The sequence below is a fragment of the Homo sapiens genome, chromosome 3 (assembly GCF_000001405.40).
Source record: "Homo sapiens chromosome 3, GRCh38.p14 Primary Assembly".
Lineage (NCBI taxonomy): Eukaryota > Metazoa > Chordata > Mammalia > Primates > Hominidae > Homo > Homo sapiens.
In genome coordinates this window covers 173,129,763-173,156,534 of record NC_000003.12, presented here as the reverse complement: position 1 = coordinate 173,156,534, position 26,772 = coordinate 173,129,763, and the positions used below count along the sequence as shown (strand labels likewise).

At 36.5% G+C, this 26,772-nt stretch overlaps 1 protein-coding gene and 1 long non-coding RNA gene across 4 annotated transcripts in view, besides 1 other annotated feature; one reads left to right on the top strand and one right to left on the bottom strand.

Annotated features, from left to right (window-relative positions):
• Positions 1-26,772, bottom strand: part of LOC105374220 (uncharacterized) — a 48,606-nt gene that overhangs the window by 6,359 nt on the left and 15,475 nt on the right. The window contains exon 2 of the long non-coding RNA XR_001741021.1: positions 2,777-2,875. This is a non-coding gene — a long non-coding RNA (uncharacterized LOC105374220). The remainder of the gene's footprint in view (positions 1-2,776; positions 2,876-26,772) is intronic.
• The window catches only part of SPATA16 (spermatogenesis associated 16), a 251,879-nt gene continuing 240,406 nt past the window's right edge, over positions 15,300-26,772 (top strand). For all 3 annotated transcript variants that reach the window (NM_031955.6, XM_006713778.4, XM_017007308.3), the window contains exon 1: positions 15,300-15,432. The gene's annotated coding sequence lies outside the window, so the exon portion shown is untranslated. The remainder of the gene's footprint in view (positions 15,433-26,772) is intronic.
• Positions 15,313-15,814: an enhancer, noted in NCBI's record as "H3K4me1 hESC enhancer chr3:172858511-172859012 (GRCh37/hg19 assembly coordinates)". NCBI's record gives its function as "activates a minimal SCP1, AML or CMV promoter by ChIP-STARR-seq in naive H9 embryonic stem cells {active_cell/tissue: H9 hESC(naive)}" and the evidence as "EXISTENCE:reporter gene assay evidence [ECO:0000049][PMID:30033119]".

The following is a 26,772-nucleotide window of genomic DNA, read 5'->3' as shown; positions in this document are numbered from 1 at the left end:
GATAACAGACCGGCCTTTACTAGTCAAATCACCCAAGCAGTTTCTCAGGCTCTTGGTATTCAGTGGAACATTCATATCCCTTACCGTCTTCAATCTTCAGGAAAGGTAGAACGGACTAATGGTCTTTTAAAGACACACCTCGCCAAGCTCAGCCTCCAACTTAAAAAGGACTGGACAGTACTTTTACCTCTTTCCTTTCTCATAATTCAGGCCTGTCCTCGGAATGCTACAAGGTAAAGTCCATTTAAGCTCCTGTATAGATGCTTCTTTTTATTAGGCCCCAGCTTCATTCCAGATGCCAGACCAACTTGAACTGCACCCCAAAAAACTTGTCATCCCTACTATCTTCTGTCTAGTCACACTCCTATTCACTTTTCTCAACTACTCATAAATGCCCTGCTCTTGTTTACACTGCCGGTTTTCACTGTTTCTCCAAGCCATCACAGCTGATATCTCTTGGTGCTATCCCCAAACCACCACTCTTAACTCCCTCTTAAAGTAAATAAATAATCTTTGCTGGCAGGGCTATGCTGAACCTCCTTAGGCACTCTCTAATTAGATGTCCTAGGTCCTCCCAATTCTTAGTCCTTTAATACCTGTTTTTCTCCTTGTCTTATTCCATTTAGTTTTTCAATTCATACAAAACCGTATCCAGGCCATCACCAATCATTCTATACGACAAATGTTTCTTCTAACAACCCCACGACATCACCCCTTACCACAAAATCTTCCTTCAGCTTAATCTCTCCCACTCTAGGTTCCCACCCGCCCCTGATCCCACTTGAAGCAGCCCTGAGAAACATCGCCCATTCTCTCTCCACACCACCCCCAAAAAATTTTTGCCGCCTCAACACTTCAACACTATTTTGTTTTATTTTTCTTATTAATATAAGAAGACAGGAATGTCAGGCCTCTGAGCCCAAGCTAAGCCATCATATCCCCTGTGACCTGCACATACACATCCAGGTGGCCAGTTCCTGCCTTAACTGATGACATTCCACCACAAAAGAAGTGAAAAGGCCTGTTCCTGCCTTAACTGATGACATTACCTTGTGAAATTCCTTTTCCTGGCTCATCCTGGCTCAGAAGCTCCCCTACTGAGCACCTTCTGACCCCCACCCCTGCCAGCCAGAGAACAACTCCCCCCTTTGACTGTAATTTTCCTTTACCTACCCAAATCCTATAAAATGGCCCCACCCCTATCTCCCTTCCCTGACTCTCTTTTCGGACTCGGCCCGCCTGTACCCAGGTGAAATAAACAGCCTTGTTGCTCACACAAAGCCTGTTTGGTGGGAATCCTTGCACAGACACAGGTGAAAAAAATTAATGGAACGATTTACTGTCTCAGCAAGAATAGAAAGAAATGAGTAAAGGAGAGAAGGAAGGAGGGAAGGAAGGAAGGAACGAAGGGATATTTTCTTGTGTATTCCTAATCATAAGCCTACATTTAGGTAGACTTAAAAATGGAGTTCATGCTGTGTATGTGACCTAACACCCCAAATCAAAAATTTACTTTCACCTTGTCCAGATAAATGCCATAGGAAGAAAGAATTCTAAATATGCATGTACCTAATAACATTATATGTTATGTGTATATTTGTAGAACTATATTTAAAACTGGCAGAACTACAAGAACAAATACATAATTCTATTATCATAGTAGAAGATTTGAATGTATCTCTGTGATTGATAAACAGAACCAAAAATATTGTTAATGATACAGAAGATTTGAATAACACAATTAACAAGCTTGATTTAATGGGCGTATACAGAATTCTGCACTGAGCAACTGCAAAATGCACATTTTAGACATATATGAAACATTTGCAAAAATTAACCCTGTATTATACTGCAAATTAAATCTTAATAAATTTCAAAGGACTAGTATCCCGTTGACCACATTCTCTAACTCAGTGGTTCTCAAATTAGCATTCATTAAAATAACAGGAAAGACTTGTGTTAAAATCCAAATTACTCCACCCCATCCACAAAGATTCTGATACGGTAGGTCTGGAATTGAGGCCAAGAATTTGCATTTTTAACAGGTTTTCTATTGTATTGGTTCCCTAGGACTGCCCTTAACAAAATATCACAAACTGGGTGGCTGAAAACAACAGACACAGAAAACAACAGAAATATATTTTCTCACATTCTGGAGGTTAGACGTTTGAAATCAAGGTGTTGGCAATGCTCTGTCTAAAGGTTATAGGGGAGTCTGCTCGATGCCCTTCTCTTAGCTTCTGGTATTGCCAGCAATCCTTGGCATGCGTTGGCTTTTTAGCACATCAGTAAGCTGGGCGTGGTGGTTAATCCCTATAATACCAGCACTTTGGGAAGTAGAGGTGGGCAGATCTCTTGAGTCCAGGAGCTGGAGACCAGCCTGGGCAACATGGCAAAACCCTGTCTCTACAAAAAATACAAAAATTAGTTGAGCGTAGTTCTCTGCACCTGTGGTTCCAGCTGCTCAGGAGGCTGAGATGAGAGAATTGCTTGAGCTAGGATGTCAAGGCTGTAGGGAGCTGTGATTATGCCACTCCACTCCAGTCTGAGCAACAAAGTGAAACTCTCAGAAAAAAAGAAAACAAAATTCCAATTACTCCAGTCTCTGCCTCTATCATCACACGGTATTTTCCTTGTGTGCCTCTGTGTCTCTTCTCTTCTTATAATTATATTAGTCATATTGAATTAGGGCCTATCCTAATCCAGTATGGCATCATCTTAATTTGATTGTACTAAAGACCAGTTTCCAAATAAGGTCACATGCATTCACAGGTACCTGAGGTTAGGACTCCAGCATATATTTTGGGGGAACATAATTCAATTCACACCAGGTAATCTTGTCGCTGCTAGTTCTGGAACCATACTTTAAGGACCACTGCATTAAATAAAATGAAATTAAGTCAGATGCCAATAATTGAAAGCTTTTATTTTATAAAGTCAATATGTTAAGAACTTAAAAACATTCCTCCAAGTAAGAAATCACAATGAAAATGAGAAAATACTTATAATTGAATAATTACAGTACTACATGTCTACATTCATATACGTAGCTAAACCAGTACTAAGAGGGAAATTTATAATTTTAATATTTATATTGGAAAATAAAAATAGTCAAAATAAATGGGCAAAGAATTAGAAGGAAGGAGTAGAAATAAAAGGAGAAATAAATAAAATAGCAAGGTGCGTCTTTCAAGACTAATAAAATAGAAAATAAAACAACCATTTGACAGCATTTACCAAGGAAAAAAGAGAGAAAAAAATATTAGGAATGAAAAGACAACTGAATTACAAATATGGTAAAGATTAAAGGTAAAAAGAACATCATAAAAAACAGATTTTTAAATGTAAGTAATGTCAAAAATACGAGAGAATAATTTAATAAAAATAGCTCAAAAGGAAATAAAATCCTGAATGTCCATTAAAGGTAGGTTTATCCTGAGAATAAAAGGCTGGGTCAAAATTAAAAATTCAACCAATATAATACATCATATTTATAAGTAAAAGAAGGAAAACCGTGTAATCATATCAATTGGTACAGAAAAAGCATTAGACAAAATCTAACACCTCATCATGATAAAAACTCCCAGAAAAAAAAAAGGAAAAGAGGGGAAACTTCCCCAACTTGATAAAGAGAATCTACAGTAAACCTACAACTAACATACTTAATGGTGAAAGGCTGAAACTTTCCCCTTAAAATGTGGAATAGGGCAAGAACGTCTGCTCTCATCTCTTCTATTTGATATCATACTATGGATTTTGGTAAGTACAATCAGGCAAGGAAAACAAATATAAGGTATACAGATTGGAAAAGGGGAAATTAAATTAACTCTCTGCACAGATAACATGATTACCTATGCAGAAAATTCCAAGAATCTTCTTTTAAAAAAAGATACCTAGAACTGAGTCCAGCAAGATCACAGAATATAACATCAATATATAAAAATCAGGTACATTTCTATATAATAGCAGTGAATATGTGGAAATAAAAATTTTTTAAAGAGTAAAATTTACAAAAGCACCAAAACATGAAATGTTTAGAAATAAATCTTATTAAATATGTGCAAAGGCTGCATACTGAAAACTACAAAAATCAAAGGTCTAATTAAACACATAGATACAAACACATATCATCTTATTATGTTTTGTTCAATGGCACTTCTTTGCAGATACTGCATTTTTTACAAATTTACAAATCCTCAAGCAAGTCTATAGGTGCCAATTTTCCAGTAGCATCTGCTCACTTCAGGTCTTTGTGTTAAATTTTGGTAATTCTTGCAATATTTTAATTCTTTCATTATTATTGTGTATTATAGCAATATGTAGTCAGCGATTTCTGTTGCTACTTTTGTCACTGTTTTAGGGTGCCACTCACTGCATCCCTATAAGATGGTGAACTTAATTGATAAATGGTTGTGTGTGTTCTGACTGCTCCATCGACCAGCCATTGCCCCATCCCTCTCCCTCTCTTCAGGCTTCCCTATTGCTTGAGACAAAACATATTGAAATTAGGCCAAATAATAACCTGAGAGGGGCCTCTAAATTGTCCAAGTGAAAAAAAGAATCCCAGATCTCTTACTTTATTTTATTTTTTACAATTTTTTAATTTTTATGGGTGCATAGTAGGTGTATATATTTATGTGGTGCATGACATGGTTTGATAAGGCATGCAATATGAAATAAGCACATCACAGAGAATGGGGTACCCATCCCCTCAGGCATTCATCCTTTGAGTTACAAACAAAATAATTACATTATTTAAGTTAATTTAAAATATACAATTATTATTGGCTATTTTCACCCTATTGTGCTATTAAATAGTAGGTCTTATTCATTATTTCTATTTTTTGTACCCAAACCATGCCCACATCCCCCACCAAATCCCTATGACCATTCCCAGACTCTGGTAATCACCCTTCTACTCTCTGTGTCCATGAGTTCAATTGATTTGATTTTTAGATCCCACGAATAAGTAAGAACATGCAACGTTTGTCTTTCTGTACCTGGCTTATTTCACTTAATACAATGACCTCCAATTCCATTCATGTTGTTGCAAATGACTGGATCTCATTCTTCTTTATGGCTGAATAGTACTCCATTGTGTCTATGTACCACATTTTTGTTATCCATTCATCTGTTGATGGACACTTACGTTGCTTCCAAATCTTAGCTATTGTCAACAGTGCTACAACAAACATAGGAGTGCAGATATCTCTTCAATATAATGATTTGCTTTCTGTTGGGTATATACCCAGCAGTGGGATTGCTGGATTATATGATAGCTCTATTTTTAGTTTTTTGAGGAACCTCCAAACTGTTCTCTATAGAGGTTGTACTAATTTACATTCCCATGAACAGTGTACAAGGGTTCCCCTTTTCTCCATATCCTCACCAGCATTTGTTATTGCTCTGCTTTTGGATACAAGCCATATTAACTGGGGTGAGATGATATTTCATTGTAGTTTTGATTTGCATTTCTTGGATGATCAGTAATGCTAAGCACCTTTTATATGCCTGTTTTCCATTTGTATGTCTTCTTTTGATAAATGTCTCTTCAAATCTTTTTCCCATTTTTTGACAGGACTATTAGATTTTTTAGAGTTGTTTGAGCTCCTTATATATTCTGGTTATTAATCCCTTGTCAGATGCATAGTTTGCAAATATTTTTTCCCTCTCTGTGGGTTGTCGCTTCACTTTGCTGACTCTGTCCTTTGCTGTGCAGAAGTTTTTTAACTTGATGTGATCCCATTTGTCCATGTTTGCTTTGATTGCCTTTGCTTGTTGGGTATTGCTCAAGAAGTCTTTGCCCAGACCAATATCCTGGAGATTTTCCCCATTGTTTTCTTATCGGAGTTTCATAGTTTGTGGTCTTCAATTTAAGTCTTTAATTCATTTTGATTTTATTTTTGTACATGGCAAGAGATATGAGTCTAGTTTCATTATTTTGCATATGGATATCTAGTTTTCCCAGAACCATTTATTGAAGAGACTGTCCATTCCCCAGACTGTCCCCTTTTTTGGTACCTTTGTCAAAAATCAGTTCACTGTAGGTGCGTGAATTTGTTTCTGGGTTCTCTACTCTGTTGCATTGGTCTAAGTGTCTGTTTTTATGCTAGTAGTTTTATACCAGCTGGTTACTATAGCTTTGTAGTATAATTTAAAGTCAGGTAATGTGATTCTTCCAGTTTTGTTATTTCTGCTTAGGATAGCTTTGGCTATTCTGGATCGTTTGTGGTTCCATATAAATTTTAGGATAGTTTTTTGCTATTTCTGTGAAGAGTGTCATTGGTACTTTGATAGGGATTGCATTGAATCTGAAGATTGCTTTGGGTAGTATGAACATTTTAACAATATTGATTCTTCCGATTAATGAACATGGAATGTTTTTCCTTTATTTGGTGTTCTCTTTAATTTCCTTCATCAGTGTTTTATAGTTTTCATTATAGAGATCTTTCACTTCTTTGGTTAATTCCTAGGTATTTAATTTTATGTATGGCTATTGTTAAATGGAATGACTTTTTAAATTTCTTTTTCACATTGCTCACTGTTGGCATATTTAAATGCTACTGATTGTATGTTGATTTTGTATTCTGCAACTTTACTGAATTTGTTGATCAGTTCTAATAGTTTTCTTATGCAGTCTTTAGGTTTTTCTAAATGTAAGATTATATCACCTTCAAACAAGGATAATTTGACTTCTTCCACATCCAATTTGGATGCCCTTTATATCTTTCTCTTGTCTGATTGCTCTAGCTAGGACTTCTATTCACTATGTTGAATAACAGTGGTGACAATGGACATCCCTGTCATGTTCCAGATCTTAGAAGAAAGGCTTTCAGTATGATACTGGCTCTGGGGCTGTTGTATATGGCTTTTATTATGTCGAGGTATGTTCTTTCTATCCCCAGTTTTTTTAAGGAAATAATGAAGGGATGTTGAATTTTATCAAATGTGTTTTCAGCATCAATTGAAATGATCATATAGTTTTTATCCTTCATTCTGTTGATATGATGTATCACCTTGATTGATTTGTGTATGTTGAATCATCCTTGAATCCCAGGGATAAATCCCACTTGGTCATAATGAATGATCTTTCTAAAGTATTGTTGAATTTGGCTTGCTAGTATTTTGTTGAGGATTTTTGCCTCAATATTCCTCAGAGATATTGGTCTGTAGTTTTTTGTTGTTGTTGTTGTGTCTTTGCCTGCTTTTGGTATCAGGGTAATACTGGTTTCATAGAATGAGTTTGAAAGTAGTTCCTCCTCTATTTTTCAGAATAGTTTGAGTAGGATTTGGTATTAGTTCTTCTTTAAATGTTTGGTTGAATTCAGCAGTGAAGCCATTGTGTTCTGGGCTTTTCTTTACTGAGATACTTTTTATTACACCTTTCAATCTTGTTGTTATCGGTCTGTTGGTCTGTTCAGGTTTGGATTTCTTCCTGATTCAGTCTTGGTAATTGTATGTATCTAGGAATTTGTCTATTTCTTCTAATTTTTCAATTTATTGACATATAGTTGCTCATAGTAGCCACTAATAATCCTTGGAATTTCTGCAGTATCTGTTGTAATGTGTCCTTTTTCATTTCTGATTTTACTTATTGGGATCTTCTCTCTCTCTCTCTCTTTTTTCTTTTTAGTTTGGCTAAACGTTTGTCAATGTTAACTCTTTAAATAACTAATTTTTTTTAATCTTTTGGGTTTTTTTAATTTCAGTTTCATTTATTTCTGCTCTTTATTATTTTTCTTCTGCTAATTTTGGGTTTGGTTTGCTCTTGCTCTTCTAATTCTTTAAGATGCATCATTAGATTGCTTATTTGAAGTTTTTCCTTTTCTCAATTTAGGCATTCATAGCTATAAACTTCCCTCTGAGTACTACTTTTTCTTTATTCCAAACGTTTTGCATCCATATTTGTCAGAGGCATTTCGTATTTTGTTTTTCCATTATCATTTGTTTCAAGAAATTTGTAAATTTTCTTCTTAATGTTTTCATTGACCAACTGGTCATTCAGGAGCATACTGTTTATTTTCTATGTGTTTGTATAGTCTCCAAGATTCACCTTGTTATTACTTTCTAGTTTTATTTCATTGTGGTCAGAGAAGATGCTTGCTATTATTTCAACTTTTTTGAGTGTTTTATGACTTGGCTTGCATCCTAACATATGGCCTATCCTTGAGAATGATCCATGTGCTGACAAAAAGAATGTGTATTCCGTAGCTCTTGGATGAAATGTTCTGTAAATATCTATTAGATCTATTTGTTCTAGAGTGCAGATTAAGTCTGATGTTTCTTTGCTGATGTTCTGTCTGGAAGATCTGTCTAATGCTCAAAGTGGAGTGTTGAAGTCTCCAGCTCTTATTGTATCAGGGCCTATCTCTCTCTAATAATATTTCCTTTATATATAGGGGGGCTCCAGTGTTGGGTGCATATATTTAAAATTGTTATATCCTCTTGCTGAATTGTCCCTGCCATCATTACATGGTGACCTGCTTTGTCTTGTCTTATAGTTTTTGTCTTGAACTCTATTTAGTCTTATATAGGTGTAGTGACTCCTACTCTTTTCTGATTTCCATTGGCATGGATTATCTTTTTCCATCTCATTATTTTCAATCTATGAGTGTCTTTATAGGTGAAGTGTGTTTCTTGTAGGCAACAGATCAATGGATTTTGTTTTTTCATCCATTCAGCCAGTCTATGTCTTTTGATTTAAGAATTTAGTCTTCCTTCTTTCTTTCATTCCCGTCTTTTTCTAGTGAAGATAATTTTCTCCAGTGATATAATATAATTTAGTATCTTGCTTTTTATTTTTTGTATATGCATTGTACGTTTCTTTGGTTTAAGGTTACCGTGATGCTTGCAAATCCTATCTTATAACCCCTTATTTTAATCTGATAACAACTTAACAGTGTTTGTTTAAACAAATAACCAAAAAGAACACTAATAAAAATTATATGCCTTAATCCCCCTACTTTTAAACTTGTTTAAATTTCTATTTATATCTTATTGTATTTACTATATCTTGAAAAGTTGTTATAATTATCATTTTTAATTGGCTCATCATTTAGTCTTTCTACTTAGGATAAGACTAGCTTACACATCACAGTTACAGTGCTATAATAGTCTGTGTTTTTCTGTGTACTTACTATTACCAGTGAGTTTTGTAAATGCCTTCAGATGATTATTTATTGCTCATTAATGTCATTTTTTTCATACTGAAGTACTCCCTTTAGCATTTCTGAGACTTGCTGGCTTCAGGTGAGACTCTACATGTTACCAGCTATTGTGGCTACAGGGCAAAACTCCTGCTTGAGAAAAGCAGAGGGAAAGTAAAGGGGGCTTTGTCTTGAAACTTAGGTACCAGCCACAGGGGGTTAGAGCAACAAGCAGGCTCTTAGGGTCCCCAGTTCTGAGACTTGATTCTTGGATGGTATTTCTGGACCTTCCCTGGGCCACAGGGGAGCCCACTACCCTGAATGGGGAGTCCCAGGCCAGGAAAAGATCATGACGAGCTGACTTAAGAGACTTGGGCCTGAAGGGAACATCTGCAGTAGTCTGGGAGTACTCCTTGCAGTCTGGACTGGTTGTGGCTATGGGAAGGGTAGGGAAGAGCAGAAAGGGCCCAAAGGCTCTTCAGTTAGCAGCTGATGAATGCTGCCAGGACTGGGTCCTTTCCTTCAACGCAGTGGGTTCCCTTCTTTCCCAGGGTGTGTCTAGAAACTTTGTCTGGGACCTCGGGCCTCACAACTCTGACTGGCACCCTGTCCTGCTATGGCTTTGCTGGTATCCTGGATATAAGACACAGTCCTCCCCACTCTTCTCTCTCCTCTCCTCAAGTGAAAGATAGGGGTCTCTTTTGGATCTGTGAGCTGTGCAGCCTGAAGATAGCAGAGGGGAGATGCCGGCACTCCCTTGGCTGCCCCAGCTGGTGTCTCAGTATGTCATGTGCCCTCTCAGTCCACTGTTCTGAGCCCAGTTCAGCACTAGGACTCACCTAAGAGTTGTGGTTCTTATGGTGTAGACTGCCCTTCAAGTTTACTTAGAGACACAGAGTGCTGTAGCCCTCAGTGGTGAGGTTTGCAGTCGCTCAAGTTTGGACCACTACTGAGATCAGTGATTCCTCTCTGGCTAGGACTGTTTTCAATGCTCCCTCCATGGGCAGACATCAGCTGAGTTTGGTCTGGTTTTCCTTGCTGCTCTAACAGGACAGCACGGAGCTCATTGCCTCACAATTGCTGTGTTCTCCCTCTCCCAGCACCCAGAAATGAGCTCTCTGTACCACATAGCTGCATGGGGTGGGAGAGGGGCAGTGTCGATGATTCGGGACTGTTAAGTCTCTTCAGTGTCTCTTTCAGCGATATAAAGTGAAAACCAGGTACTACGAGTGCTCACCGAATTTTTGGTTCTTTTGAAGGTATTTTTTCTGTGTTGATAGTTGTTAACTTGATGTCCTTGCAGGGGCATGATTGATGGAGCTTTCTATTTTGCCATCTTGCTCCGCCCTCTCTCAGATTTCTCATTTTTTTAAATCAAAAACTATAAGTGACTTAACTTAGTGAAAAAGGCAGGTTAAAAACTGAAATAGGCTGAAATTTAGGTAACATTGTGCCAAACAGGTAGGCCAAGTTGTGAATGCAAAGGAACACATCAATGATAAGAAAGTGAAACAGTCTAATTATTGATATGGAGAAATTTTAGTGACGTAGAAAGAAGACCAAGACAGCTACAACATTCCCTTAAGCAAAAACCTAATCCAGAGCCAAGGCCCTACTAAAGCTCTTTAATTCTATGAAGCCTGAGAGAGGTGAAGAAGCTAAAGAGAAGTTGGAACCTAGAAGAGGTTGCCTCATGAGACTGAAGGAAAGAAACCATCTTCATAACATAAAAGTGCAAGGTGAGGCAGCAAGTGCTGTAAAAGCTGCACCAAGTTATCCAGAAGATCTAGCTAAGATCATTAATGAATATGGCTACACTAAACAAGAGATTTTCAATGTAGACATATAGCCTTCTATTAGAAGAAGATGTCAACTAGGACTTTTATAACCAGAGAGGAGAAGTCAATGCCTGGCTTCAAAGGTTCAAAGGACAAGCTGACTCTCCTGTTAGGGGCTAATACAGCTGGTGACTTTAAGTTGAAGCCGATGCTCAGTTACCACTGTGAAAATTCCCTAGAATTTTCAGCCCTTAAGAATTATACTAGATCCACTTTGCTTGTGCTCTATAAATGGAAAACCTAAGCCTGAATGATAGCATATGTGTTTACAACATGCTTTGTTGAACATTTTAAGTCTACTGCTCAGAAAAATATAGTTCTTTTGAGATATTACTGCTCATTGACAATGCACCTAGTCACCCAAGAACTCTAATGGGAATGTACAAGGAGATTAATGTTGTTTTCATGCCTGCTAACACAATATCCATTCTGGATCAAGAAGTCATTTAGATTTTCCAGTCTTATTATTAAAGAAGTGCATTTTGTAAGGCTATAGCTGCCATAGATAGTGATTCCCCTGGTGGATCTGGACAAACTAAATTGAAAGCCTTCTGGAAATGATTGACTAGTCTAAGTGCCATTAGGAATATTTGCAATTCATGTGAGGAGGCCAAAATATCAACATTAACTACAGGGGCTTGGAAGAAGTTGATTCTAACTCTCATGAATGACTTTCAGGGGTTCAAGACTTCAGTGGAGAAGTTAACTGCAGATATGTTAGAAATAGAAAGGATCTAGAATTAGAAGTGGAGCTTGAAGATGTGACTGAATTGCTGCAATCCCATGATACAACTTGAATGGATACAGAGTTGCTTCTTATGGATGAACAAAGAAAGTAGTTTCTTGAGATAGAGTCTCCTCTTAGGGAAGATGCTTTGAACATTGTTGAAAGGACAACAAAAGATTTTGAATATTCTGTAAACTTATTGGATAAAGCAGCTGCAGAGTTTGAGAGGATTGACTCCAATTTTGAAATAAGTTCTTCTGTGGGTAAAATACTATCAAACAGCATCACATGCTGCAGAGAAATCTTCTGTGAAAAAAAAATTATCAATGCAACAAACTTCACTGTCATATTTTAAGAAATTACCACAGTTACCTCAACCATCAGCAATCACCATCCTGATCAATCAGTAGCCATTAACATTGAGGCAAGACTCTAAATCAGCAATAAGATTGTAACTCACTGAAATCTCAAATGATTATCAGCATTTTTTAGCAATAATGTATTTTTAAATATGGAATGTATTTTTTAGACATAATTCTATTGCACACTTAATAGACTACAGTACAGCATAAACATAATTTTTATGTGCAGTTTTTGCTTTTGGGAAACCAAAAACTTAATGTGACTCACTTTATCGCAATATTCACTTAATTATAGTGGTTGGGAACCAAACCCACAATATCTCTGATATATGCCTGTATGCAGTGATAATGGATTGGAAGACTCATTTGCTAAAATGTCAGTTTTTCCTAAATTGTTCTATAGATTTCAACAATTCCAATCAAAATTGTAACAAGATATTTTCGATAAAAATCAACAAGGTGATTCTAGAATTTACATGGAAAAGCAAAGAAATTAGAATATACAAAATACTTTTGGAAAAGAAGAACAAAGTTGAAGGATATGCACTATCTGAAATTAGAACTTTATAAAGCTATAGTAACCAGGACAGTGTGATATTGAAGAAAAAGCAAACATATAGATCAATAGAACAGACTAGAGAGTACAGAAATAGACTTGTGCATTGATTTTTCAACAAAGGTACAAAGGCCATTCAATGGAAAAAGGATGGTCTTTTCAACAAATGGTGCAGGAACAACTGGACCTCTATTTGCAAAAAGAAATTAACCTCAACTCATAACTTGCACCCCACACAAAAATTAAGTCATAAATGATCATATCGTAAATGTAAAACCTAAAAACTAGGAAGCTCTCAAATGAAAACTTAGGAGAAAAATCTTTGTGACTTGGGGTTAGAAAAAGATTTCTTAGACATAAAATCAAAGACACAAGCCATAAAAAAGGTAAATGAAATGTATCAAAGTTAGGACCTTCTACTCCTTGAAAGATGTGGCTTAGAGAATAAAGAGACAAGCACAGACTGGAAAAACATACTTAAAACACAAGTCTGATAAAGGGCTTATATTTAGAATAAAAGAAGTAATAAACCAAGTAAAAATAAACCAAGTAAAAAACCAAGTAATAAAACAATCCATTTATTTTAAAATGAGCAAAAGATTGGGCCAGGCACTTCAACAAAGAAGATATAAATGGCAAATAAGCACATGAAAATATACTCAATGTCATTTGCTATTAGGGAATGAAAATTAAAACCACAAGGAGACACCCAAAGGAAATATTATTTTTAAAATGAAAAGAAAATCTGACAAAACCAAGTGCTGGTGAGGATGTGAGAGTAACTGGAAATCTCATGTATTGCTGATGGGAAAGCAAAATGGTACAGAAATTTTGGAAAATAATTTGGCTGTTTCTTATGAAGTTAAACCCCATATGGCCCAGCAATCTGATCAGTAGGTATTTAAGTAAAGTAAAACTTAAATTTACACAAACATACGTATACAAATATTTATAGGAGCTTTATTCATGACCACCCCCAAATATTCCTCAACTAGTGAATAGATAAACTGTGGTATATGCACACAAATAGAACATTACTCAGCAATAAACAGGACTGAACTCCTGATAAACACCACAGCAATGTGAATCTCATATGTAATATGCTGAATGAAAGAAGTCTGATTCAAAAGACTACATGCTATATAATTCCATTTATTTGACCTTTGGAAAAGATAACACTAAAGGGACAAAAAACACATCAGTAGATGCCAGGGTGTGGAAATGATCCGCTGAGTTGACTACAGAGACATAGTGTTATTTTTATGGGTGAAAGTAATGTTTTAAATCTTGAATTGTGTGGCACTTACAATCAAAACTTGCAGAACTGTTTACTAGGTTAAAAAAATTTTTTAAGGAAGCAGAGCTTTGAAGGCAGGATGGAGATACATCAGTGAGAGGTAGTAGGGAGATTATGACTACTGCAGAGGGATTGAAAAGCCTGTTATCACACAGCAGAGGCTTCATGCACCTCATCTCAATCAATCCTTACACCTTACCTTGAAGCGTAGTTTCCCCGTTTTTTGCAGAGAGGTAGGAGAGAGTGGGGGTGGGAAAGTGTGAATAAGACAAACTTTTTACCCAAGAAGTGAAATTTAGTCATCATATTTAGTGTACTTTGTAAAAGATAGATTATACTACTGTAATCAATGGCAGCATAGAGTAGTAAAACCATAACTGGACTATTTTTATTATGTTCAAAAACAGACAAAACTAAACTGTGGTGTTAGAAACCACAACAGTCACTACCTACGGTGAATGAAAAGGAATGGAAATTAGAAGGGGTTTCTGGGGTGCTAAGAATTTAATTTTTTATTGAGGTGGTGGTTATTCTGATGGGTTCACGTTGTGATAATTTATTCAACACACTGCAGTTCATTCATTTTTCTGGATATATGTCATATTTCAATAAAAAGTGATGCATGTATGATTTGTTAAGCTATAAAGGAAAGCAAGGGATGTTTGTCATACAAGTCACAACAGTGGCTAGGAGGAAGACGCAGTCCTTAGGGGTACATAGATTTCTTCAAATGTATCAGTAATGTGCTGCCTAAAATGCATAGAAGGTAAAGTGCGTTTATGTTTAAATATACATAATTACATATATAACATAACATGTTATATAATATTATCATATAACATGTTAGTATAATACATGATACATTTGATATATAATATACATTTATATATTCTATATAATATACATATTTTACTCTAAAACATACATAGGTAGGAGCTTATGAGATCTCATAAATGGTTTTAGAGTAAAATGTTTAAAATAATTTTCTTTAAAAGAGAACAAATACAAAACTTTATAAAATGTATGTATAAAGTCTATATTGTATCTGTGTAGTTTTGTGTGAAAGAGACAGAATGGTATGATTTTTTTTTAATCTATTCATAGTAAAGAGACTGCAAAGATATACATGAAAATGTTTTCAGTGCTTCTCTTTAGAATACAGATAATTTTTATTTTATGTACATCTTTCTGTATCTTCCAGATTATTTTATTGATCATATTGCTTTTAGAATCTGAACGGAAAAATATAAATAACCTTGTTTTTATTATTGGAAACATCAAGTGCAACTCAAGAGGAAAGACTAGGGAGGTGCCAGTGACCCGCGCCACTTGTGGGCGCGATGGGCCTCGTGGCACGGGACGTTTCAAGTCCTGGCGTCCCCGCGAGCAAGCAGCCTGATCAGGCCTCGCAGTGGGACGTTGGGAAGCCGGTGTTGGCAGATGCTGTGGCTGGGAGGAGTCCAGAGCTTCGCCCTGTCCCCGCGGGGCTGAGCCACAACTGCTTAGGTAGGAGGAGAATCATTCAGGTCTGCCCAGTTAAAGCTTTTCTCGTTCAGTGGCTGGGTGGGAAGGAAGGGAGATGACCCTCAGGTGAAGATGGAGTAAGCTGGGAAAACAGGAGCTCCTTTCTTCCTGCCCACGCGAGGAATGAGGAATGTTGCTTATAAAAAGCCCTAATAAGTAACCAAGAAATCATCTCCTGCAGGCAGTTAGAAGACAGGTAGTTCCAAAGTGGTTCCCTGTCCGCTGCACCGGGTCACCCTATCCTTCCCCACTCTGGTGAGAAAGTAAAGACTAAGATCCCACTTGGTTTCCCAATAACAGATTTTTTGTTTTGTTTTGCTTTATTCTAATATATATTCCCTAATAAAGTGTATAGTTTGAGGACATCTTCTTGTAGTCAAGTGGGAGATGATGACTGCTAATTCAGAGTTCACATTTTATCATTTGTGATACGGGTTGTTGTCTCCTTAACGCATAATATTACTGTGGATTGAAGACATTGAACGTCAAGGAGTAGGATATTAGGGAGAGAAACAATCCAAGCTCCCTGTAAGACATAGACCATGTCATCATTTCTGTATCCTAACATCATGCCTGGCGTAAAATGCGTGCTCTGAAATGTTTGCTGTATGAATGAGTAAATGAATGAATGAATGTCTTTTACAAGGACCTTGCTGTTCAAAGGTTGTTCAGCGTGAGCAATTAAAAATAGGTTCCAGCTTTGTTTAAAATTTGCATTTTGGATTTATTACCCATAAAATATTAATAGATATCAGTAAAGTTCTCTGTTTTTGAAGCATCAGGGAAGTGTTTACCATTTTTAGTAAGACTTAGTTTGAAAGAAATGCATAAAAACTTTGTATTGTGTTTTTGTTCAACCCTTTATGATTAAGTTTCATGTACTAGCAGTATTATAACAGAAACTACCCTAATTTCATTAAGTTGTTCATCCTCTGAGCAGTGAAACTAGCACCTTGGAAATTGATTATGACTAAAAGAAAGCAACCAATGAGCATGAACTGTGAGATACAGAACCTTAAAATGATCTCCAGGCATAAACCCACAGTTAATCCTTACTGCAGGAGTTTGTTTGTTTGTTTGTTTGTTTGTTTGTTTGTTTTGAGACAGAGTCTTGCTCTGTCACCCAGGCTGGAGTGCCGTGGTGCCTTCTTGGCTCACTGCAACCTCTGCCTCCTGGGTCCAAGTGATTCTCCTGCCTCAGCCTCCTGAGTAGCTGGGATTACAAGCACACGCCACCACACCCAGCTAATTTTGTATTTTTAGTAGAGACATGATTTTGCCATGTTGGCCAGGCTGGTCTCAAAGTCCTGACCTCCAGTGATATGCCCACCTCAGTATCCTAAAGTGCTGGGATTACAGGCATGAGCCACTACGCCCGGCTATTCTTTCTAATTAAGACACACAGTGACTGAAGCTACATTCCTCTACATAGAATTTCACTGCATGTTGTGTTTTTGTTGTTGTTCCTTTTATGTGACACATCAGTTTGAAATAAATGAATAGGTACCCCAACAATTGTAGGCCATAGTAACAAAAGCAGTGCAAACACCATATGCTCAAGGGTTTTTAAATCCTTTTACATCAGAAAGCCTGGAGTATTGTCTTTCAACTAGTGTAGAATATGTTGAGTCATCTTCTTGGAAAGTAATGTTCAAGTTGTAACATTTTGCACTCACGAAGAGCTTGCTGAGTTTTTCAGGGATGTTATAAAATAAAATATTATAGCAGTCTAGCTTAAATATAGCAAAATAAAGACTAATTTATCATAGCTCTAGCTAAATTTCAAAATATATGCAATGAATGAGCATGAGCCATCTGTCTAATAGAAAGCATTTTTCTAATTGTCTAATTTTTAAAAAAATTGCTGAACAATAATAACAGCAATAACAAAAATGATGATAATGATAGAACAATAGTTAGCATTTATTGAGCGGTTACTGTTTTCAGGCAATCTTCCTATATTACTCTTCTCAACAATTACATGAGGCAGATATTATAATTAACTCCATTTTGCGAATAAGAAAACAGAACCCAATGGCTATGACTGATATCAGAATTCCAAATCCCTATATGATGGGGAAAATTATTATAAAATTACTGGAAGGTGAAGATTCAGCTTTAGCTTTACATTTTAGAAAGCCTCCAGGAGTAAATGTATTTGCATACTATATGATGTGATATACATTTATGTACACCTATGTACATCTATTCTGAAATGTGCAGAATTCATGTATTTGAACCACCAATATTTCACGATTTAGGCAACTTTGAAAGGTAATTGAGTTGACCTGATACAGGATAGGTGTTAGAAAGCGTCTCTTTAACCTTTATGAGTAGAAACTGAAGCTGAATTCACACTGTCATCTAGAATTGCACAAGAAGTGGAAAATTGACATGGTTTTAAGTAGGCCAGTTGAAAGGAAATGTTTCAGGAAGACTTGTATTATAATTACTGAATAGAAATCAGCTCCTGATTTCAATTTCTTTTCATAGATAAATTAGTTATTCTGTCTTGCTGTTTATTTTAGATTTACCTAAATAAGTTGTGCATGTGCCTTTCAAACATAAACATTATTATATGGAATCAAAGTTAAGGAAGATTAATATCTTACAGAGGAAGGGAATTGTATATAACTCTGAGCTGATGTTTTTAAAATGTTTGAAAATATAGAGTTGAAAATATTGGCCTCACTTTTCTTTAGGGACCTTTAGCTCGTTACTTATTAGGAAGATAGCTCCACATCTTAGCTTAAAAGTTACTGGCACTCAACCTGGTCTGTATTTCTCTGCCAGAATAACTTTCCTTAGGAAATTCCACATTGTGGGTGTTCATCTGATTTCACATGCATGAATGCTTCAGTGCTCTCCCACTGGTTCTCAATTAAATTCCTATTAGCCAGCATAACTCAGGCAGAAGAATTCAATGCTGTCTTGAACGATCACCGAAGTTATAGCTTGAGAAGACATTGCATTATCACCCCCCCACCAAGAAAAAAAGTATGCATTTAACTTGTTAGAAATCAGCTCAATTTTGTTAACTTGAAGATGTAAGGAGCAAAAACATGATATAAATCACTTCTCATTCCTGTTGAACAGACATTTGGAAACCTAAGTTTAAGGTGAAGAAAGAAAGGATTGCAGTAGTCCTCTCTAACATACATTCCCAGACCTAATACATCTGGTCTCTTCTTTAGGGAGACGTGTGTGTGTCTGTGTGTGTGTGTGTGTGTGTGTGTGTGTGTGTGTGTGTGTGTGTGTGTGTTGAGAGTCCATGGGATCCCCCTCAGAGCAGAAGATAATGGAGGAATAAACACACAGAAGGCTTCTGAACCTTCTTAGGTATTGGGGCCAAGGCTTAATTAAAGGCTTTCAAAAGTTCCGATCTCTCAGTTAACTTCCTCACCCTTTATATTTACTGATGTAGTTAACAGTGAAGAAGCATCATGTTAAATATGAGAGTCATTACCAGATTGAAAGAAAAGACTTGAAATACATTGAAATTGACACCATTTATGAATGTAGAAAAGGAGGAAGTTTTAGTGTTCATAGAAGCTTTATCTTCTGCAGCTGCCATTTCTTTTCCTGTTTTCCTCCCATAGATCCCGCCTTCCATGGACCTTTCTGTGACTCTGTTGTTATAGAATTTGTCTAACATCGTGGTCATCTGATTTTGTTCTTTCTTATCTTTCAGTAGCAGGTGATCATTTCTGTTCTCCACCTATCCTTCTACCACCCTAATTCGCAATATTTTTTATTCTTCCAGATCTTTCACATCCACAATATTCCTTCAAGATAATGGGATGGGGTTGGGATATAATGGGCGGGAGGTGCCATTTGAAAAGAATCCCTCAGAGCCTGATTCATCTCTTCCTCTAGGCTTCAGAGTGCTGCTTCTTTCTGGGACATTCCCACCTGGAGGTGTTGCCCTAAACTGGTATAAGCTGATTTAGATGTACAGTGATGGCAGAGGCAGATTTATTTTGATAGCAGAACTTATCAGGCAAGCTCTTTAGACCCCATTTCTACTAATGTTGAAATGTGGGAATGTAGAGAGGGATTATTTAAACTTTCTCATCAAATACAATTCAGTAGTGTTTTTAAATGGGTTCTTTGGGTACGTTTTTCCTCTCAAGTGGTCACCATTTTTCCCTCCTTCCCAAGAGAGAGGACAGGGAAAGCTTATTCGTCTACTTGGTGGCTGCACAGGGAAGGGGTCTTGAGTCACTGTCTTCTCTGGTTCCCACTGGCCTCTCTTGAGACCCTTCTTCTTCCCACCTTCTCCTAGGACTGGGTGTTGACTGAGGTAAGGCTGAGCCTGCGGTCATTGGTCTGGTCATTAGGTCACCCTATTTTCCAATTAATATAACAAACAACTGCAGGGAGTTTGGGTCAGAAAGCAAGCACAGAGGCTTTATTCCTCCCTCTGCCACAGCTAAATTTAAAAAATTTTGACAGTAATGAGTATGAAAAACTAGTTAGAATGAATGAATAAGACCTAGTATCTGACAGCACAAGAGGGTGGCTACAGTCAATAATAACTTAACTGTACATTTTAAAATAACTAAAACGGTATAATTGGATGGTTTGTAACACAAAGGATAAATCCTTGAGGGCATGGATACCTCATTCTCCATGATGTGATTATTACACATTGCATCCCTATGTCAAAACATCTCATGTACCCCATAAATATATATACCTACTATGTCCCCACAAATAATAAAAATAAAAAATTATTTTTAAAAAGATAGCATAAAAATAAAAGTAAAAAATAATAATTATGACAATGAAAGCAAGCAACTGCTACATGTTCAGTGCTGTTTGCCCTGGTGTTTGGAACCCTCAGAAATGTAATCATGGAATCTCTTTCAGTCTATCTACCACACACACAGTCTGATAATTTCCAAGCCGCTAACATCAACTGCATTTCATTTGTTTTGTGTGGTTTTACCCTCCTGGAGAATTTTGAAGAAAACACCTCCTAACTATCAAATCCTTACCCTGCCTTCTTGCTTATATTCTTAGACAATGCAAAGGTTGTAGATAAGGGAGTAGGGGGCATGTGTTTAGGCAAAACTTGCCTTAGGAAAACTCAGAGTCTTTGTATGTAAAATTTCAAGCTGTCTTGATTGATTTTCTTAATGTAAACTTTTTATCGATGCATAACATACATTTGGTAAAAGGCACAAATGAAGACAGATTTAATCAAATGAACACATTGGTGTAACCAGCTCTCAGATCCAGAAATGATGGTACCAGTAAGCCCAGGAGCTCCCCCTGTTCCATTCGAGTTACTACTCACTGTCTCAAGGGCAACCACAAATCTGACATCTAACAGCACAAATCAGTTTTGCCTAAATTTAATCTTTATTTAAATGAATCATATAATATGTATTCTTTTGTATCTGGCTTCTTTCACTCCATGTTTTATTTGTGAGATTCTTCCATGTGGTTGCTTGTAGTTGTAGTTCCTTTATTCTCACTGCTAATAATATTTTTCCATTGTATAAATATACCACAATATTTTTATCTTTTCTATGATTCATGGGCATTTGGAATGTTTTCAATGTTATTATGTTATTACGTTGTTGTGAATAGTGCTACTGTGAACGTTCTTGTATGCATTTCTGCTGGGTATATAGGAAAAAATCTGCCAGTACAGGATATAGGAGGAAGCAGATGCTGCCAAACAGCTTTCCAAATTGGTTGTACCATCTTACATTTATATCTGCTTTGTGTAAAAGCTCCACTTATGCCATATACTTGCCAATACTAGGTATTGTCTGTCTTCTTAATTTTGGCCTTCTGGTGGATTTGCTGTGGTATCAACCTGTGGTTTCACTTTGCATTCCATTGATGACTAATGGGAGTTAATAACTCTTTCAAGAGTTTACTGACCATTTGGAGATCATCTTTTGTGATATGTCTATTAAAACGTTTAGCCCACTTCTCTACTGGGTCTTCTTCTGTCTTCTTTCACAGAACTCCTTTATATATTCTGGATACAAGTCCACGTCAAATATATGTACTACAGATATTTTCTTTTATTCTACGAATTGTCATTTCATTTTTAAAGATGTGTTTTGATGAACAAAAATTATTATGTATAATATAATCCAATTTTTTATTTGTATGTTCTGTTCAAGAAATCCTTGCCTATCCAAGTCATAAAATCATCCATTTTCTTTTAAAAGCATTAATGTTGTTTTTTTTACATTTACTGTTGCAATGTATTTGGAATTGATTTTTGTGCATTATGTAAGATAGGTATCAAAATTTATTCGCTGCATTTGATTTAGGCCAGCACCATTTATTTAAAAAGCCATGATTCTAGTTTTTGACTTATTCTGTTTTCTGTTGCTATAGCAGAATACCTGAGACTGGGTAATTTATTTTAAAAATAAGTTTATTTGGCTTACAATTCTGGAGGCTGGGAAGTCCAGGAAACATGGCACCAGCATCTGCTGTTTCTGGTGAGGAACTCATGCTGCATTACCACGTGGCAAAGAAGCAAAGAGGAAGCAGATATGCAAAAGGAAGACCAAACATGCGAGGCAGCCTTGCTTTACAATGGCTTACTTTTTTTTTTCTTTTTTGAGGCAGAGTCTTGCTCTGTCACCCAGGCCGGAGTGCAGTGGTGCAATCTTAGCTCATTGCAACCTCCTCCTCCCGGGTTCAAGTGATCCTCCTGCCTCAGCCTCTTGAGTAGCTGGGATTACAAGAATTTACTCCCTCACTCACTCAGCATTAATCTATTCATGACTCAAACACCTCCCACTAGACCTCACCTCCCCACACTGCTGCATCAAGGTGAAAATCAGGCTTCCAACACATGAACTTTTAGGGGACATGCTTAAGACACAGCACCCCCATTGTGTGCCAGGGTCACTCTTGTCATAAATTAAATGAACATTTATATGTAGGTCTACTACTGGACTTTTTATTCTTTTCAGGTGGTGTAATTTATCCTTGCATCAAAGCCATGCTGCCTCCTTACTATAGCTTTATTTATAGTAATTCTCAATATCCGGCCAAGTCTGTCAGCTTTGTTCTTCTTCAAGATTAACATGGCTATTCTTGGCCCTTTTTTTTCCATATAAAATGTGAAATTTGTGGTGGCTTGACTTATGAGTGAGCTATGGTTAATTTTGGTAAAAGTTGCAGGTACACTTGAAAAGAATGTACATTCTGATGTTCTTTGTTACAGGATTTGACATATGTCTATTAAGCCAAGTTTGTGGCTTATGTTACACAGAGCTCCTATGTTCTTGAAAGTTTTTTCTTTCCTTTTTCCTTTCTTTCTTTTTTTGTCTGAAATTCCATCAGCCTTTGACAGAGTTGTGTTACAATTTCCCACTATAATTGGAGATTTGTCAATTTCTCCTTGTATTCATCAATTTTTTTATATTTTATGTACGTAAAAGCCTTGTTATTCACTGAAGACAGATTTAAATTGTGCTGTCTTCTCCTTAGTTCCCTATAGCATCCTTAGGGATGAGGGGACACGAACAAGTAAGTAACTTGGAAGCTCAGAGGAGGTCCCACAAGGCTAAGATTCAGATCTCTGAGGAGAGAGTGTGGCCGGGGGAAGTCACTAAGATAGGGTTCACTTATCTCAGAACCAGGAGAACAACATGGCTGTGGTGATGAAGAAATTTGGCAAAAGAATACCTGCACTGACTGTGCGGGCCACCACCACATTGGTAAAGGCTGCCTAGACCCCTACAAACAGAAACATTTGCTGCTGGCAGAAACAGAAAATTCCAAGAAGGAAATGTCCCTTCTTCCCCTTTCAGCTTTGCAGTGTTTCTCCAGTACCCTCTATTGGCAGAGCCTAACTTTCAACCAGCTGGAAAAATAAAAATGTAGTCTGCAGGTTTCAGTTCCAGTATCACAATACAGAGTGATGGGTGGGTTTGGAGCTGAGGAACAATAAATCAATAAATAACATACCTTCTGTATTTCTAGTAATGCTTCTTTCCATAAAGTCCACTTTGTCTGATTATTAGTTGAGCCATCCCTTATCTTGGTTGATGTTTGCATGCTGTATCTTTCTTCATGGTTTTATTTTCAACTTCTCTGTGTTCTCATATTTAAGGTGTAGCTTTCTTAAGCACTATAGAGTTGGGGGTAGTAATTGTTTCCTGTGAGACCATCTTGGTCTCTGAGTTGGGGGTAGTAATCTTGGTCTCTGAATTAGAATATTGAGTTCTTTTAAATCTGAAGTAATTGCTGATAGATTTTGGTTTATGTCTACCGCATTGCTATCCGTTTTATATTTGATCCCTTTTATTTCTCTCCTCTTTGGGGTTAATCCAAAAATATTTTAATTTTTTGTTACATTAATTTGTTAATTATATATTAGTTTATATTTTATATTCCCCAGCTTCTACCTTACAAATTAAACATGAATCCTTGACTTCTTCCAATCTAATACAGATGATTATTTTTACCAAACTCCTAATAATTTTGTAACATTAGAATACTTTAACTCTGTTTACACTCTCACAACTTTTGCATCATTGTTGCCATTCTTTTTAATTCTGCCTAGGTTTTAAATCCTGTAGAGACATTTCTATTATTGTCTTATGCAGTCAAGTGACAACAGTCAATATTTACTTCTATGTGTATATTCTTACATATTTACTTTTACTATTACTCTTTAATTCCTCCTGGAATTCTCTTTTGCTTTTGCTTCATTCTCTGTGTTCCTTCTAGGGATCCAACTATACTCTGTTAAGACCTTTTCACTATGTTTCACATGTTTCCAAAGGTTTTTTAAATAATATTTTTCATTATTTTACTTCTCTGCTTAAATTTAGATATATTCTATTGCTGTTTCTTGAGTTTACTAAATCTGTCTTCTGCTGTATCTAATGTGTTGTTTAATCCATCTAATGAGTTCATTTCCAAGAGTATATTTCTCAACTCTAGAATTTGTTATTCTTTTTATAGAATCTAATACTCTATAAAGAACTCTGGTAAAGTTCTTTATCATTTCTCACTCTCTTGTCATAAATATAGTAATTAGAGTTGTTTTAAAATTCCTTACCTAGCTCTAATGTCTTGATCAGCCACAGGTAGGTTTCTAGTGTTTACTTTTTCATTTGTTTTTTTTTAATTGTTATCTTGAGATGTTTTATTTTTGCATACTTAATGATTTTCCCTTAAGTGCTGAATAGTGTGTATAGAAAATTATAGAAGATCCCGATGATGTATCTTCCTCCATAATGGATGTATCCTTCCTTTCACTAGGCAGATAACATGGCACTTCATCTTAATTTAATTAGGGACTGTTTCATATTGAGGCTGAGCTGCAACCCTCAAAGAAGTCTACCTGTAGTCTACCCTGGTTCTCAAGAGTTTCAGCTGAAAGTGTGCTGTTTCTCCAAAGCCCTTTCTCCTGTGGATCCTTGTCTCGTAAGACCGCAAAAATTTTATTTTCCTTTCAGAGGCTTTCCACTTTGCCATCCTGCCCCATGAATGCCCAGAAATTGGCTTTCTTTTCTGAGTGGTAAAAGAGCTCTGTGTTTGAGGCTTGCCACATATTTACCCAAAGCTTACAGGTTTCAACATTACCCACCAGTGACACTCCTTCAGTGAAATGTTGAGATGCTCACACTCTTTCCCATGCCTACGATTAGCAAATGCCCCTAGAAGTTGCCCCTGTCAAAGTCAGCTCACTTTGACGAGGGAGTTACACCCTCTTCATAGCCTTCTTAGCTATATTGAAACAAATGATTTGGTCTTTTATTCTGCTTTTCTATTAGTTCTCAACAGAAGTTCTGATCTACTACTCCATCCCACCCATAAGCAGAGTATAACGTGTAACTGTTTGAACGATGTATTTTGTTAGGTTCCATTTGTTAAAATAGTAAATTTTAAACTATGTCTTTGTTTTAAAGTTTTGCACAAACCAAAATTTTTTTTCCAAGCAGTTCTTTGGCTTTATGGTTTTCTTTGGCTGAGATCAACTGGGGAAATATTAGTGGATGATCAATATGCAATCAGTCCTCAAATATTTCCGTAGTCCTTAAACCTGTAAATCTTCATTAAATGTAATTGAAACATGATTGAAAAAGTAAAAAATTATATTTCTAAACTATTTTGACATTTCCTCTATCTTAATTCCGAAGTTAATTTTTCTCACAGACAAATGCATTTCCACAAAATAAGTATTGTTACTTACCCTAGAAAAAGATTCAGAAGAAATATTCAAATAATAGCACTAAAACACTATACAAGTAAGAAATGATTATTATTTTTTACCAAGGATAAGTATATACAAATTCCAAATGGTTACATTTGAAAGCACTTCATAATTATATTATCTTTAGTATAATGTCAAAGCAAGAATCTTGCAAAGAACTAGGTGAGCCCTACTTTTGGCTCAGCTGTTTATGATGGGAAGTGGCTTGACATGCATATGTAGATAAACAGATCATTTTTTACTATCTTTGTCTCTACTAGGTTCTGTAATAAGTGCCATACAACATTGTGCTGTTTATCCTCGGGCAAATCATATGGAAAAATCTCAACCAATGGTTTCTCAAGTGTTAAAAATGAGCGTTTATTCTGCAACTTGTAAAAGGAAGGACAGTGTAGGGGTTAAGTTAAAATGCACTGTAAACGATTATAAAATATTAAAATGACAATGGTGAAAGCTGTATTATATGAGATGTTTGGGGATTATAGAATTTCTTTTTTTTTTTTTTTTTTTTTTTTTGAGACGAAGTCTCACTCTGTCGCCAGGCTGGAGTGCAGTGGCACAATCTCGGCTCACTGCAACCTCTGACTCTCAGGTTCAAGTGATTCTCCTGCCTCAGCCTCCCAAGTAGCTGAGACTACAGGCACATGCCACCATGCCCAGCTAATTTTTGTATTTTTAGTAGAGATGGGGTTTCACCATGTTGACCAGGATGGTCTTGATATCTTAACCTCGTGATCCGCCGCCTCGACCCCCCAAAGTGCTGGGATTACAGGCTTGAGCCACCGCGCCCGGGCGATTATAGGATTTGTATGTTCATCTTTACCTGTCTCCATTCTACTCCAAAAGATACTTTACAGTGATATGTAATGATCTAAGAAAATAAACATCCAGTTCAACCTCTGCAAATAATTAAGGAGGAGTCTCATCTTCATGCCTCAGGTTCTATTTGTGAGGTAATGGAAAATACTATTCATTCATTACCCGTAGTGTACCCATTCCAGTGGATCATGCATTATTTGCTTGGTGTATGATAACACTGGAAGGTAGGTCAGCCATCCCTGTTTGTGATAGGTGTTCCCCAATTGTACAGACTGTTCTTCAGGACACAAAAT